Source organism: Homo sapiens, chromosome 1, assembly GCF_000001405.40.
Source record: "Homo sapiens chromosome 1, GRCh38.p14 Primary Assembly".
NCBI lineage: Eukaryota > Metazoa > Chordata > Mammalia > Primates > Hominidae > Homo > Homo sapiens.
The window spans coordinates 18,860,390-18,873,685 of NC_000001.11; the positions used below are offsets into that span (position 1 = coordinate 18,860,390).

General features: G+C 53.8%; 1 protein-coding gene across 4 annotated transcripts in view; it reads right to left on the reverse strand.

The window, feature by feature from the left end:
- The window catches only part of ALDH4A1 (aldehyde dehydrogenase 4 family member A1), a 31,126-nt gene continuing 28,870 nt past the window's right edge, over window positions 11,041–13,296 (reverse strand). For 3 of the 4 annotated variants that reach the window (NM_001319218.2, NM_003748.4, NM_001161504.2), the window contains one exon: window positions 11,041–12,568. In NM_001319218.2, the coding sequence (NP_001306147.1) occupies window positions 12,456–12,568 (113 nt within the window). In that variant the 3' untranslated portion in view covers window positions 11,041–12,455. The remainder of the gene's footprint in view (window positions 12,569–13,296) is intronic. The other variant, NM_170726.3, reaches the window with a different exon arrangement.

A 13,296-nucleotide genomic window follows, 5' to 3' on the forward strand; every position in this document is an offset into this window, starting at 1 on the left:
GGTGGGGGAAGGAGGGAAGGGAGGGGTGGTCTCACTCCCTCTGAAGGCTGCCATCAGTCAGCCTAGCAACACCCACTCTGGGTCCCCGACCCCTTGGACCCCACACCAAAGGGCAGGGTTGTTGGCAAAACAGAAAGTTGAAAATTCCTAAATTCAAAGGTGAATACGCCCAAGGAGTCAGAAGCGGGGAGGTGGCTCCAGTGAATTAGGGACCCATTTGAATCAGAGACCCCTGTCCATTTAGTGCTGTTTTGCTCCTTTCCAGGCCTACCAACATGTGGCCGAGCCCTAGGGAACCTGCCACACACCACATGGCTGGAATGGGTCTGTCACAGGCACATACCCGGCTGCTGCGCTCCATGGTTCTGATGGGCAGAGGCTTCAAGGTAGAAAAAGGTGATCAAAAACCCCATGATCGGCTGGGCACGGTGGCTTACGCCTGTAATCCCAGCACTTTGGGAGGCCGAGACAGGAAGATCATCTGAGCTCAAGAGTTTGAGACCACCTTGGGCAACGTGGTGAAACCCGGTCTCTACTAAAAATACAAAAAATTAGCTGGGTATGGTGGCACACACTGTAATCCCAGCTACTCGAGAGGCTGAGGCACAAGAATCGAGAATCGCTTGAGCCTAGGAGGCAGAGGTTGCAGTGAGCTGAGGTCATGCCACTGCACTCCAGCTTGGGCTACAGAGTGAGACTCCATCTCAAAAAATAAAAAATAAAAACAAATAAAAACATGCTCTCTCCTGCCCCACCCCAGCCAAGCCCTGCTCCTCCTTCAGGGCCCAGTCTGAGCTTCTCCTCCTCCTAGGAACCACTCCTGCCCCCAGTTCAAGGGAACCTCCCCGGCTCTGAGCAGCAACAAGCCTCCTGTCTGCGTCATCGCTGGGCACTGGCTACCAGCCTTACACCGTTAACCGGATCCTGCTGCGTGTGTCCACTCTACTTGAGGACCCTTGAAACCACGTGACGTGGACCCACCTGGATTTGACATCAGCTGTTTGCTGGATGAGCATGGGCAGGTTCCTTAATCTCTCTGAGGCTCTGTTTCTTCCCCGTTGAAACAAGGATAACAATTTCAGCCTCATGGACTTGGTGTGGGAATTAAGTTAAATAAAACTGGGGGGTGTGGAGCAGGCTTGGAGAAAGGTGAGTTTGCCAAAGTGCGAGGTTGTTTCTTTTTACAACGAAATCAACTGCCGCAGGGGGCACCGTGGGCTCCATGACCAGCTGAAATTGCCCCTTTGTGTCCCAAAGCCTCTCGAAGTTACCCTGAAGGATGTTGGATGTCTTTAGCTACTGCAGAGCCGAAGTGGCGCCTCCTCCCCTGCCCCTGACCTCTCCTGGGACGGGGTCATCCCGTGGGCCTGTAAGCCAACAAGGGGAGGCCTCCTGGTGCTGCAGGAAGAGGCAGAATTGGCTGTGTGATCTGGGCTTGTCCCTGCCCCTCTCTGGGCCTGTGTAAACCAGTGGATTGGAGGTGGGGACTCATAAAATAAAAGGAAGCGCCCTGCAAGGGGTGTTTGGAGGTGTGGGTTCTGGGCCTGACTCTCCTCTCTCTGGGTCTCAGTCCCCTCATCTGTACAGTGGGGAGCCCCTCTTTGCACTGCCCGTGTCTGCCTCCATGTCAGCTGGCCCAAAACCCCAGCACTGACCCGTCACCACTGCCCCATGGGTTCTCTCCATGCCCTCCCACTTTCCACGCCACAACCCCCGCAGACCCTCATCACCCCCTTTCTGCACCTCTCCATCTGCCCCACACTGACTGTTTAAAACCCCAAACCACAGCTGTCAGCTAATCACTCCTCTGCTCTAATACCCGCCGGGGCTCCCCGTCACCAGCTGGATCAAGTCTGAGCTCCTTGTCCTGGCATTTGAGGCCTCCCCAGCCCAGCCCCAGCTCACTCATCCTCCCTTTCCTGGCCTTTCCAGCCTGGTCTCTCCTGCACCACGTGCCACAAACCACAGCCACACTGGCCTCCTTGGGTCTGGGTCCCTGGAGGATCTTCCTGGGGTGGCATTCTAGGGGCCTCCGAGACCATAGACGCCCGCCCTGCCAAATACCTAGGGGTTTATGAGTGGGTTGTAACAACAAATAGCGCCTTTCCCAGAGTGTGATGTATTGTTTCTGTTTTTTAGAGACAGGGTCTCACTCTGTCACCCAGGCTGGAGTGCAGTGGCATGATGAAAACTCACTGCAGTCTTGACCTTCTGGGCTCAAGTGATCCTCCCACCTCAGCCTCCTGAGTAGCTAGGGCTACAGGCACGTGCCACCACACCCAGCTAAGTTTTTTTAATTTTTTGTAGAGATGGAGTCTCTTTATGTTGCCCAGAATGGTCATGAACTCCTGGCCTCAAGAGGTTCTCCCTCCTCTGCCTGCTAAAGTGCTGGGATGACAGGTGTAAATCACCACGCCTGGTGTGTATTAAATCCACCCAGAGTCTATTAAACACCAGGCATTGTGCCAAGCATTTTATATACATTATCATTTAATTCTTACAACTCCCCTTCAAAGTAGCCATTTTTACTACCATTTTGAAGATGAGGAAACTGAGGCTCAAAGAGGCTAAGCAACTTTCCAGAAGTCACAAAGCTACTAGGTGGTGAAGCCAGAATGTAAATCCACGCTGCCCAAGCTCTTAGCCCCTGTGCTAAGTGTGTTCTGCCTACAGAAGCTGTCACTGCACCTCCTGCCATGGGGGTTCTGGGATGGCCCTGCCCTCCCTCAACTCAGGTCCCACCCCAGCTGTTGGGGAAGGATTCGTTCCTGGTACAGCCACAAGAAGGCACATATGACTGCACATGTCAGTTCTGAATTGGGGAATAAAGAGGCCAGGAGGCACTGGGATGTCCTGAAGACTTCTAGAAAAGGCACATTATTTGGCAAAGCTTAGGGGTGGGGGTATGCCAGAGAGAGAGAGAGAGCATCTAAGTTAACTGGGAAGCCCAGGATGTAGCCCTGATCTCAGGGCACGCCCCTCCCTGCCCCTGACCACCCCTGGGGCAGGGCCATCCTGTGGGCCTTTAAGTCAAGATGGGGAGGCCTCCTGGTGCTGCAGGAAGAGGCAGAATTGGCTGTGTGATCAGGGCCTGTCCCTGCCCCTCTTTGGGTAAACCACTGGATGGGAGGTGGGGACTCATAAAACAAAAGGAAGCACCTTGCGTGGGGTGTTGGGACGTGTGGGCTCTGGGCCTGACTCTCCCTTCTCTGGGTCTCAGTTTCCTCATCTATAGAGTGGGGAGGCCCTCTTTGCCCTCTTTGCACTGTCTTCATCTGCCTCCATGTCAGTCGGCCCAAAGCCCCAGTCTCAGGGTTTGGGACGGGGAGGGTGGTAGAAAACAAGAATGGTTAAGCAAGCTGTTTATCCAGTGGGCACCAGCTGAGCCCACTGTGTGACAGGGTTTACCATCCGGAGACAGAAACCAGGGCCCGGGTGAGGGCAGTGCACACTGGAAGACACCGGGGAACCAGGCCCATCCGCAGTGTGATGTACTGTGTCAGAGCTGAGAGAGCCTACGGAGACCCACAAACCCACCCAGTATACAGATAGGGAAACTGAGGCCTGGAAAGGGGCAGTCACCCAAGTCCAGAAAGGCATATTGACTTTCAGGACCAAGTTCTTTCTGGACCAAGTCCAGAAAGGCAGATTTCTTTCAGGAACAAGGGGCTAAGGCTGGGATTTGAGACCTCTGCTCTAATAAAGTCAATCAAAAGTACATCAGGACGGTGTGTGATGCCACCGGGATAGAGTAAAGAGGAAGGAAGGCACCGACCAGCCAAGAGCTCCTTGGGGAAGGCAGGGTCTGTGCCTTGAAACATGGGACAATGATGGTGATAGTGAGCACGAGTGATTTATGTTGTTAACGTGATTTGAGTGCTCACTCTCCACCAGGTGCTGCGCTGAGCCCTTGTTATGCTCCGCCATTCTGTTTTATTCTACCTCTTTTTTTTTTTTTTTTTTGAGATGGAGTCTTGCTCTGACACCCAGGCTGGAGTGCAGTGACGCGATCTCGGCTCACTGCAACCCCCACCTCCCGGTTCAAGCGATTTCCATGCCTCAACCTCCCGGGTAGCTGGGATTACAGGCATGTGCCACCATGTCTGGCTGATTTTTGTATTTTTAGGAGAGATGGGGTTTCGCCATATTGGTCAGGCTGGTCTCAAACTCCTGACCTCAGGTGATCCACACACCTTGGCCTCTCAAAGTGCTGGGAATACAGGAGTGAGCCACTGCGCCTGGCCTATTCTACCTTTTAAGGTGCTACTATGTCCTCATTTTGCAGAAGAGGAAATTGAGGTTCAGCGAGGACCAGTAACTTATTCAAAAGCACATAGCAAGTATGTGGATTGGAACAACCCAGCACCCTAATGGGGGCTAATGGGAGTGGTAGAGATGCAGGGGCTCCAACGAGGAAGAAATAATGGGGGTCCCATTGACAGGGAGAGCTTTTTTTAGAGTGGGCTGCCAGTATGGATAGATGATGTCCCTGAAGACCGAAATCTGAAGGCACACTGGACAGAGAGCCAAAATCCTGGTCCAGCTCTGCCCCAACTTGCGATGCTGCCCTTGAACAAGTCACTTCCATTCTCTGGGCCTCATCCTCCCATCTGTAAAATGGACTCAGTGCTTCTTAATGGTTTTGAGATGAGCATCCTTTTGAGATTCTGACGACAGCCCTGCATGCCAACACGCCCCCAACAAATGCAGCCATGCACCCACATCCAGGGCATTGCCAGCCCTTGAGGCTCATCTGAGAACTCTGGACTGAGATGATCTGCAAGGTCCCCTCAGGCCCTGACGTTTATCTAGGAGGGGCAAGCGGACACCATCCAGAGCACTGGCTTCCCTGAGGACAGATGCCTGGGAATGCTATGGGAATGCCTGGGAATGTCACTGGGATTCTCCTTCAGTGCCACACACACAGCACATGCCCCCGCGTGGCTGGACACAGCGCAGGCCAGCCCCAGCCATCACCCTCACCGCCTGGTCCAGGGCCTGCCGTCCCCATGCTCATACCTGTGTGGCTGCCAAGGTGACCAACAGCCATGACAGACTTATGCAAAGTCCACGGGGGAAGGAGAGAGGGGTGAGCCATGGAAACAGCCAGCCAGGAGCTGCCCATTTGCCTTGGCATCTGCTTCCCCTGAGGTGCAGGGAAAGGAAATGGGCATGTCGGCTGGAAGGGACTGCCCTGAACGTCCTTCCTCCCCCTGCCCTGCGGTTGGATGGAGGATGGGGCACAGGGGGAGCCCCCAAGAGGATCCTGACCCTAGGGACTGGGGGATACATCAGCTGCTGCCCCTGCCCCACCCTCTGATCTGTCTCTGTCTCTCTACTTGCATATCTCTCCATTCACTCCTGTCTCCTCCTTCCCCACCCACCATTCTCTCTCCCTCTTTCTCACCAGCACTCCATACTCCAGGACAAAACTGGGCCGCTAGAAACCCACCTCCAGTCTGGCTTATGATGGGGAGAGGGTGGGCATGCAGGGCCACCCCAAGAAAGTTCTGGGAGATGGGCAGTTCCTAAGCCAACCCACTTGGTTCAGAAGCACCTCGGAGGAGGGTTGCTGGGAAGGCCTCAAAGCCAGTTCTCAGAGGGCCCAGCCTCATCGGCACTCCTCATCCGACCCCTCTGAAACAAGAAGTCCAAGGAGTGGAGTGGTGTGGGCTCCTAAAGTTGGGAAGCCAGGGATCGGCTAAGACCTCAGGAAGGGACTCTGCTGTGGTTGGGATACTCTTTCGCACCCAGGGATCCACTCAAGCCTCCTCACCAAACTTTGCTGAGTGACGGTGAGCAGTTTGCCTCTCAACCAGAAAAAGAGCTGGAGGTCTCAAATGACCACAAGCTCAATAAGAGCCAAAAGGGTAATAATGACTAAAGCCTAAAGGAAAGGAAGCAGCTTTTATGGAGCCTCTGCAATGCTTTCAAACATCACCGCATCTGCTCTCCAGAACTCCGTGAAGGATTTTGTATCACCATTGTACAGATGAAGAAACCAGGGCTCAGGAGGTTAAGTGGCTTGTCCAAAGTCCCTGGGAATTGACTTTTTTTTTTTTAAGAGAAAGATCTTGCTCTCTTGCTCTGTTGCCCAAGCTGGAGTGCAGTGGCGTGATCATGGCTCACTGTAGCTTCAACCTTCCGGGCTCAAGAGATCTCTTGCCTCAGCCTCTCAAGTAGCTGGGAGCACAGTCACATGCCAGCATTCCTGGCTAATTTTTAAACTTCTCTTTTTTTTTTTTTTTTTTTTTGGTAGAAGTCGGGTCTCACTACGTTGCCCAGGCTGGTCTGAAATTCCTGTCCTCAAGTGATCTCCCTCCTCGGCCTCCCAAAGCACTGGGATTACGGCAAGAACCACCGCGCCCGGCCTGAATCCACTTTCATTGCACTCCAGAGTTCTTAATCTTTCCACTGTATTCGTGTAAGCCAAGTGAAATTTAAGGTTATAGCCAAAGGAGCAGATTGTCCAGAACAAGAGAGGTGATCGTCCTGCCGTGTGATGTTGTGATCAGACCTCACACGGGTGCATGACCTTAACAGTACTGGCTCATGTTGACTGACCTGTTCCTGGCCACCAGGCCCAGCACAAAATCTGTTTTCACATTTCAGACCATTCAGTCCTCCTAACAATTGTAAGGGATGAGTACTATCAACATTATGTCCCCATTTGACAGCAGAGTAGACTGAGGCCCAGAGAGGGGATGTGATTCAGCCAATGTCACACAGCCTGGATCCCAGTTCAGGATGATTCCAGACTCTACTCCCTGGCATCACCAGAGCAGCTCACTAGGTAGACAAAGATCCAGAAACTACATCCCACAGAGAGTAGCTGAAGGAATAAAAGATGTTCAGCCTGGGAAGGAAGAGGCTCAGGGAGCTCTTGATGGAAAATAAAGGGCTGGGATGAGGACAAGGGAGTGGTCCTGTTCTGTGGGGCTCCTGAGGCCCCAGCCTGGCCCAAGGGACAGGGGACAACAAGCAGGCTTTGACTCCTCGAAGCTTCCCCACCTGTAAAACGGCCACAGGCACCCTCAAATGGTGATTAAATGAGGTTAATATATCAAGCACCTGCTTAGTAAATGATCACCAATAAATGATGCCCTCCAGTGCCGATGGCTTTGTGCCTGGCATGGTACTGGCAAGGGACCCTCAATTTTTTTTAATTTTTATTTTTGAGACGGAGTCTTACTCTGTCACCCCGGCTGGAGTGCAATGGCACAATCTCAGATCACTGCAACCTCTGTCTCCCGGGTTCAAGAGATTCTCCTGCCTCAGCCTCCTGTGTAGCTGGGATTACAGGTGCTCACCACCACATCCGGTTAATTTTTGTATTTTTAGTAGACACGGGGTTTCACCGTGTTGGCCAGGCTGGTCTCGAACTCTCGACCTCAAGTGATCCTCCCGCCTCAGCTTCCCAAAGTGCTGGGGTTACAGGCGTGAGCCAGCACGCCTGGCCGGGACCCTCAATTTTAGCCCTAGTAAAAGGCTGGGGTCTGTGACTCTATGGCTGTCGACTAACACTCTAATCTGACTCACTGGGGTTCCAATTCTGGCTCTGCCACTTGCTGTGTGGCCTCTTCCGGGCATTTCCCTCGCTGAGGCTCACTCTCCCTCCAGCGACGCCTGCCCCGATGCACATCCTGGAGCAGGTGCCCAACTGAACGTCAGCTCCCTCCAACCTCTATGGACCAGATGCTTCGGGGATGAGGGCAACTGCCTGGGCACATAGGGCTGAGGGAAAGCATGGCAGAGGCCTGGAACAGCCTTCTGCTTTACCTTGGGTGCCTGAGGGGCATGTGGTACCTGCTCCGTCATCCAGGGGGGCTGGCAGCCCCCCGGACACAGGACAAGGCTGGCTGGTTGTGTTCAGAGCCATGACAGCAGCAGTGCCTCCTCCCACCCATGCACAGAACACCCGGAAGGATGGATTCCTGTGAGGGACAATGACAAGGGGTTGCTGGTATGTTCATCAGAAACAAGTTCTTCTCTTGCCCCCGTCCCTTACTAAGCAGGTCTCTCTTCACCTCTTTAAGCCTCAGTCCTCATCTGTGAAATGGTGCTAAAATACTATCTCACAGGCCGGTGTGGTCCAAGAGAATTTGTAGGAACGATTGGCCTATTGATAGGTGCTCATTTAAATCTGGCTTCTCCTCTTTCCTGGGGAACACACATATCTAGGATGAAGAAGTGTTGAGGTTGAAAATTAAAAGTTCACATTGATTGGGCACCTCACCCTGGCAGGCCATGGGATGCAGCGTTTTGTTTTTAAATATTTCATTTGGTCCTCAGCTCCTGGAGGAGTCTGAAGCTGGGAGGTCAAGGCACAGGAACAAGACGCTAAGGTTGGGATCTGAGCCCAGCGCCTGTCCAGCTCCAGGGCACTGTGCAGTGGTGGTTATGGCCAGGGGCTTGGGAGTCAGAGGTGTGGGACTAAAACCCAGTTTGTTCATTTCCTACTGGCATGTTAGTTACTTAACCCATTGGTGTCAGTTTCCTCCTTTGTAAAATGGGAGTAACAGCACCTACTTTATGAGACTTCCATGAGGATCCGAGGCCATGATGCCCGAAGCATTTAGCCCAATGCCTGGCACACAGCCTGCATTCAAACAATGGTGGCTCTTGTTATTTACTAATCTGGCCCCTAAACAGAACACCCAGGAAGTAAGACGATGAATGGGTCGGGGACGAACTAGTGAAAATGAAGACTCTCTGGAGAGGGTGGGTCTGCCTCCTGCCACTTCCCCTGACTCCCCCCGCCAGGAGCTCTGGGTCAGCCTGGTGGCCTGCAGCCAGCACAGGTGGCCCCTCATTTCCTTAGAGGGCATGCTCCACTGGCGGCCCGTGGGACAGTGGTGGCAGGGACATCCGGCCTCAGTCAAATGGTTCACGCTCCAAGCCCTGGCCCTGGCCACAGCAGGGAAATGAAGGGGCTCCTTGGGCCACCGCAGACACAGGGACTTATTGTGGTGACCATGCAAAGAGGCCTCAGGTCCCCGAGCAGGCACTGGGCCCTCAAGAGCCACCAGCCCCAAGTCTAGGGGACGAGGTAGAGGAGAGAGAACAGGGTAAGCAACAGCTTTGAGTCACCCCTAGTCCAAAAGGAGGCAAAGGTGACAGGTTGAGGAAGGTTGGATAAAATAATATTAGGAGAGGAGGAGCTTGGAAGTCAGGAGCCCAATGGAGCAGGTGGCGAAGAGCGTGGGCCGTGGGCAGCTGCAGACCCGGGTGCAAGCCCGAGCCTTCCTCCTAACCAGCTGCGTGAGCTTGAGCTAGTTATCCCACCTCTGACCTCTGTGGGTCCTGCCACAGTTACCTGGTAAGGTCACTGCCAAGGCTCTAAGTGACCAGGTAGGTAAAGCATTTAGTAATTAGCCAACTCTGTCTCAGTGTGATCTTAAGCAAGTCACACCAATGGTTCAAACACATCCACAGCCTGCTGGTCCCACGACTATAAATGCAGTTGCCACCCTTCCCTTCTGTGCTCCAGCCTGGGGCACTCTGGGTATTGCCTATTGTCCCTGGAGGTGTCAGTGTGGTTTACAAAACAGCCCCTTTTACATCATGGGCAGGTGGGAACAGGCCAGGTCACATGTTTCCACCCCTCCACAAGTCACCTGGCCTGCATGGGCTAGGGCCCACAGACCTGGGCTCAAGCTAACTGGCTGCAGTGGCTCCTCTCAGTCATCGTTTGGCCAGCTGAGCGTGTCTTTCCAAGACAGCAGTCATATGTGCCTTCTTGTGGCTGTACCAGGAACGAATCCTTCCCCAACAGACCAGGGTTTACGTCTCAGCAATACCATACCCCCAGGAAGGCCCCTGACCTCTGTACCTAAATTTCCTTCTCTCCAAAATGGGAGGGTGGCAGAATTCCTTCCAAAGGCTGTTGTAAGGAAACATACTGGGCCTTCAGCACACATATTCATCAGGATCCTCCAGAGACACAGAACAGGAGCAAGAGAGAGGTTTTAAGAATTTGCTCATGTGATTATGGAGGCTTACTAAGTCCAAAATCTGCATGGCAGCCCAGCAGGCTGGAGGCCCAAGGAAGAGCTGCAGCGATTCAGTGCAAGGGGAATCTGCTGGCAGAATTCCTTCCCGCGTGGAGAGCTCATTCTTCACTTTATGAAGACCTTCAGCTGATTAGACCACGCCCACCCACAGGATGAACGGTCACCTGCCTTGCTTTTTACTTTTAAAACTCCACTGATTTAAATGTTAATCTCATCCAAATACACCTTCACAGAAACACCCAGAATGTTTGACCAAATACCTGGGCACCATGCCCAGCCAAAGTGACACATAAAATTAACCATCACCACACAGGATAGTGGTTCTTACAACGAAAATGGGTAACGGGTATTTTTTTTTTTTTTTTTTGAGGCAGAGTCTCACTTTGTCACCCAGGCTGGAGTACAGTGGCGTGATCTCAGCTCACTGCAACCTCTGCTTTCCAGGTTCAAGAGATTCTCCTGTCTCAGCCTCCCCAAGTAGCTGGGATTACAGGTGCATGCTGCCATGCCTGGTTAATTTTTTTATTTTTAGTAGAGATGGGGTTTCACCATGTTGGCCAGCCAGGTCTCAAACTCCAGGCTTCAAGTGATCCGCCTATCTCGGCCTCCCAAAGTGCTGGGGTTACGGGCGTGAGCCACCGCACCCGGCCTTATGGGTAATATTTTTGAATCATCATGTGTCTGGCACTATTCTAAGCATGTGGAAGTGTTAACTCATTCAATTCTCATGATGACCCATGGCGGGGAGAGGGGGCGGTTACCCCATCTTATGGATGAAGAGATGGAAGGTCAGAGAGGTTGCATAACTTTGTGGCAATCATCTGGCTGGCGGGGGGGCAGTGAGCCAGGATGTGAACCCAGCCCCACCGCCTCCAACAGACAATTTCAAACATCAGCACCTACTGTTCCTTCTGTCACACTGAGAGCACTGTGCCCATGACCAGGTGACACATTGGCAATGACACCAGACTTAAAAGATGTTGGCTGCCCCCACCATCCCCTCCAGAAAGACCATCCACCACTGTGATTAAGTAACAGGCATTTTATTGGGTGGCATCTGAGCAAATCCCATTGCCACCTCACAGTGTAGAACCAGTAGAACTAAGAATACTCCAGCCTGTGCCCCCACCCAGCCACCTGCCCCGGCCCCTCATGGGAAATGACACATATCCTGGAAGGACACAGAACCCACACCCAGCCCAGCTGGCACCAGCACCCACCCCCATCCATGGGCCAGTGGCACTTGGGGAATGGCCACACCAGCTCCGGGTGGGGTCCCATGCAGGCATCCTGGAGGAAGACCCAACACTTTCACAGTCCCCTAAGAACCATCCTTGAAAGTCATGCTTTACAGATCTCTGACCACTCAGAATCCAAGCAGGAGGCATCTGTGGGAGGAATCGTGGTCACAGATTGGCTGCGTCAAAAAAAGAATGGGCCAGTGAGGGACTGGTCCACACAGAGCCACTCCCAGGCAGAGGAGGATTCTACAGGCAACGTCCTCGGCCCATGCTGACGAACCCAAGGCCAGGCCTCTGGGGGCTGGGAGAAGGGAGGGCCAATGTCTGCCTTGGCCTGTGTCACCATGGCACAGTGGTGGCTGAGCTCCTGCAGGGAAATCCCAGACCCTGAGACTGGCTCTAGGAGTGGAGGTCTCTACAGGTAGGGCCTGAGGATCAAAGGGAAGGCTGACATAGGACGAAGGCCCATCCAAGGTTTTCCAGAATCACGGCCTAAACCGGCAGGACCATCCCATCCCACGCCTTGGCAGGTGGCCTCCAGCGGCCCCCCAACCCCGCCATGTGGTGCAGACCGGGAATCACACAGGCCTCGGCCAAACACAGGCACCTGGAGTAAGGCATGCCAGCATCTAAGGTGTGTGGCTGGGGACAGGGGCCTACTGGCCCAGGTGGGTCTGGGCAAAGATACAGTGAGGAAGGTAGACAGCCCAGACCAGAGAGGGCAAGGCCAGCTGGTGCCCCCTGTGCCCCACAGGTCAGTCTGAGTTACACTTTACCCTGGACACCTGGAGGGGCAGGGATCAAGGCCAGGAGCCTCTGTGAGTGGTGAGGTTTGCCAAGGGGCCCAGAATGGCCTCCTTTTCCCCAAAGGATCCCAAGAGCTGCTCCATCTCCTTTCCCCAGGTCCCTGAGCCACTGGGCCCAGTGGAGGGCAGAGGGAGAACCTGCCAGGCACCAGGGTCATACCTCCCACATGGCCGATGGGATAAGGGGTAGTGGCCATGTTCCTCCCCAGCACGATCTCAAACCAGAGCCTGAGGCATGGGAGAGGCCAGAATACAGTGGTAAGAAGGGAGTCAAGCCCGGATTATAGAAAGGCAGCTGTGCATGAAGAAGGGGTGGAGGGGCTGGAGTGGGGTCTGTGCAGTGAGGTCGGCCACCTGGACGGACAGACAGCTGGACGGTGGAGCCCGAGAGGGGCTCACTGCATGTACGCGTAGCTCCAGTCCCCCAGGGGCTTATGTGTCTCCTTGATGACCTGCGGCGACGTCCAGCGCAGGATGTAGTGTGGGCCCCCTGGCTTGTCATTGGTTCCTGCGGAAAAGACACTTCTGTTTTTCTCTGAAAAGATGCAACAGCCTGGGCAGAAGGGGAAGGGAGGAGATGATGGAATCAACGGACCAGCAGTGTAGCGGCCAGCAGCGAGCCTGCTGCCAAGCTTGGGGCATGCAGAAGAGCCAGAGGGATGGACAGGAGACCCTGCCTCCAGTCTCCAGTCTGTGGGGAGCCTCCATTGTTCTCTCCAGTCGCACCCAGCCTTGCATCCTTGCTGGGATGCGAGGATGTCTAAGAGGCAGGGTGTGGCGTGGAGAGAACACTAGACTGAGAGGCAGGGACTTGGCATGGTCCTGGGGTGCCATAAGAGGTACATATCTAGCCTTCACCCCTGGTTCCTAGCCAGAATTCCTAAAGCTCTTGGAATTTCCAGAGTGATGGGGGTGAAAGGAGTGTCTTCCGTTATTCATAACAAGCCCCTTCTAATCACACATGAGTTTATGCTAATGAGGGCTCTTGCAGGATGGCACTGATTGGCAAAGGAACCAACCCTGTGATTAGAGGCTTGGAACCTTCAGCCCCAGGGAGGGCAGAGGGGCTGGAGGTTGAGTCGACCCCAATGGCCAATGATTGAATCAATCGTGCCTGTGTAATGCAGCCTCCATAAAAACCTAAAAGGACAGGGTCGGGAGAGCTTCCAGATTGGTGAACACGTCCACATGCCAAGGGGGTGGCACAGCCCGAACTCCAGGGGGACGGCGGTGCCC